The sequence below is a fragment of the Homo sapiens genome, chromosome 19 (genome assembly GCF_000001405.40).
Source record: "Homo sapiens chromosome 19, GRCh38.p14 Primary Assembly".
In the NCBI taxonomy this organism is placed as follows: domain Eukaryota; kingdom Metazoa; phylum Chordata; class Mammalia; order Primates; family Hominidae; genus Homo; species Homo sapiens.
In genome coordinates, this window is record NC_000019.10 from 38300515 (window position 1) to 38303372 (window position 2858).

General features: G+C 50.5%; 2 annotated features.

The window, feature by feature from the left end:
• Window positions 6-698: an enhancer, noted in NCBI's record as "H3K27ac-H3K4me1 hESC enhancer chr19:38791160-38791852 (GRCh37/hg19 assembly coordinates)". NCBI's record gives its function as "activates a minimal SCP1, AML or CMV promoter by ChIP-STARR-seq in primed H9 embryonic stem cells {active_cell/tissue: H9 hESC(primed)}" and the evidence as "EXISTENCE:reporter gene assay evidence [ECO:0000049][PMID:30033119]".
• Window positions 1063-1310: a silencer, noted in NCBI's record as "fragment chr19:38792217-38792464 (GRCh37/hg19 assembly coordinates)". NCBI's record gives its function as "represses an EF-1alpha promoter that drives an FKBP-Casp9 reporter gene in an ReSE screen in HepG2 liver carcinoma cells {active_cell/tissue: HepG2}" and the evidence as "EXISTENCE:reporter gene assay evidence [ECO:0000049][PMID:32094911]".

Here is a 2858-nt window from a genome sequence, read left to right on the forward strand (position 1 = left end):
TTGAGCATCAGTTTAACTTGTGCCAGGCAGGTTCTGTGCAAAACCATTTCCTAGATGAGATAAGTTTTCCTTTTTACAGACGAGGAAGCAGTAGTCCAGAGTGGCTAGCTGATTTGTCCACAAAGCAGTAAGCGGTAGAGCGACTGACCTCCAGGACCCAAACTTGCAGCCCCTCTGTGCCGGTGGTGACTCACCCTTAGCACAGTACCTGGCAGCAGGCGATGCCACCTGTTCACTAAGGCATGGCGAGCAGCACCTCTGAGTCACACCATTCTGGGTGGTGCACAAAGCAGATGAGTTCTCACCCTCATGGAATGCGCACTCTGCCTCGAGAGACGGACACTTTCTCTCATATCCTGCGTCCAGTTGCAGGCAAAGCCACAATCATTGCTCACCTCCCAGTCACACTCAGGGTAAAGAGCAAAGGTCTTTGATTTACAAGTCCACACCCGCCACCCGCCTCTCCTCCCCTCTCCCTCATCTGCCTCTCTCCTTCTGCTCTCTCTGCCACTCTGACCTCAGCGCAGCTCCTCAGACACAGGCACATTCCTGCCTCAGGGGCCTTTGCATTTGCTCTTCCCTCTTCCTCTATATGCTTGCATCGCTTGCCTGCTTGTCTTCAGGTCTTTTTTTTTTTTTTTTTTTTTGAGTCTCGCCCTGTTGCCCAGGCTGGAGTGCAATGGCACAATCTTGGCTCACTGCAACCTCCGCCTCCCGGGTTCAAATGATTGTCCTGCCTCAGCTTCCCGAGTAGCTGGGATTATAGGCACCCACCACCATGCCCAGCTAATTTTTGTATTTTTAGTAGAGAGGGGGTTTCACCATGTTGGCCAGGCTGGTCTCGAACTCTTGACCGCCTGCCTCGGCCTCCCAAAGTGCTGAGATTACAGGCATGAGCCACTGCACCAGGCCTGTCTTCAGGTCTTTTTTATTTTATTATTTATTTATTTATTTATTTATTTATTTATTTATTTTGAGACAGAGTCTCGCTCTGTCGCCCAGGCTGGAGTGCCGTGGTGCGATCTCGGCTCACTGCAAGCTCCACCTCCCGGGTTCACGCCATTCTCCTGTCTCAGCCTCCCGAGTAGCTGGGATTACAGGCGCCTGCCACCATGCCCAGCTAATTTTTTTGTATTTTTAGTAGAGATGGGGTTTCACTAAGTTGGCCAGGATGGTCTCGATTTCCTGACCTCGTGATCTGCCTGCCTCGGCCTCCCAAAGTGCTGGGATTACAGGCATGAGCCACTGCACCCGGCCCACATACTACATTTTCTATCCACTCACCAGTTGATGAAGACTTAATTTGTTTCCAGTTTTCTTTTTTCTTTTTTTTGAGATGGGATCTCCCTGTATTGCCCAGGTTGGTCTTGAACTCCTGGGCTCAAGTGATCCTCCCACCTAAGCCTCCCAAAGTGCTGGGATTTGTTTCCGGTTTTTTTCCTACTATGCTATACTTTTGACTTTGTTTCCCTGACTAGGATGTCAATTCCGTGAGGCTGGATTTTTGCTGATTTTTTTTTTTAACCTCTGTACCCCTAGCTTTTTTTTTTTTTTTTTTTTTTTTTGAGATGGATTCTTGCTCTGTCGCCCAGGCTGGAGTGCAGCAGTGTGATCTTGGCTCACTGCAACCTCCACCCCCCGGGTTCAAGCAATTCTCCTGCCTCAGCCTCCCAAGTAGCTGGGATTACAGGCGTACGCCACCATGCCTGGCTAATTTTTGTATTTTTTTTAGTAGAGACGGGGTTTGACCATGTTGGCTAGGCTGGTCTCAAACTCCTAACCTCAGGTGATCCGCCTGCCTCAGCCTCCCAAAGTGCTGGGAATTACAGGTGTGAGCCACTGTGCTCAGCCTGTGTGTTTTGAGACAGGGTCTTGCTTCGTCACCCAGGCTGGAGTGCAGTGGCTCAATCACAGCTTACTGCAGCCTGGACTTCCCAGGCTCAAGTGATCCTCCCGCCTCAGCCTCTCAAGTAGCTGGAACTACAGGCGAGTGCCACCATGCCTGGCTAAGTTTTAATTTTATGTAGAGATGGTCTCAGTATGTTGCCCAGGCTGATTTCAAACTCTTGGGCCCAAGTGATCCTCCTGCCTTGCTTCCCTCCCAAAGTGCTAGGATTACAGGCATGAACCACTTCACCTGGCCCATGCTATATGTTTGCCCCTCGTCTTCTTACCTACTCCCTCAGTTTTCTCATCTGTGAAGCAGGGGTTGGAACAGTAGGGGTTGAATGTTTGTGTCTTCCCCAAACTCCTGTGCTGAAGCTGAGTGATGGTATTTGGAGGTAGGACCTCTGGGAGGTCATCAGGTGATGTGGGTGGAGCCCTTATTAATGGGATTTGTGCCCTTATAGAAAGGGACACAACATGAGATGATCTTGCTCTGGGCCATGCCGGGAGGAAGGGAGAAGGTGGCTGTCAACGAGCCAGGAAGCGGCACTCCTGACACTGGATCTACCAACACCCCTATCTCAGACTTCCAGCCTCCAGGACCGTGAGAACTGTTTCCTGTTGAAGCCACCCTCTCTATATTTGTTACAGCAGCCCACACTGATTAAGACACTTTTTTTTTTTTTTTTTTTTTTTTTTTTTTTGAGATGGAGCCTCGCTCCATCACCCAGGCTGGAGTGCAATGGCGCAATCTCGGCTCACTGCAACCTCTGCCTCCCGGGTTCAAGTGATTATCCTGGGTCAGCCTCCCAAGTAGCTGGGATTGCAGGCACCTGCCACCATGGCTGGCTAAATTTTGTATTTTTAGTAGAGACAGGGTTTCACCATGTTGGCCAGGCTGGTCTCCAACTCCTGACCTCAGGTGATCCACCTGCCTCGGCCTCCCAAAGTGCTGGGCGTGAGCCACCATG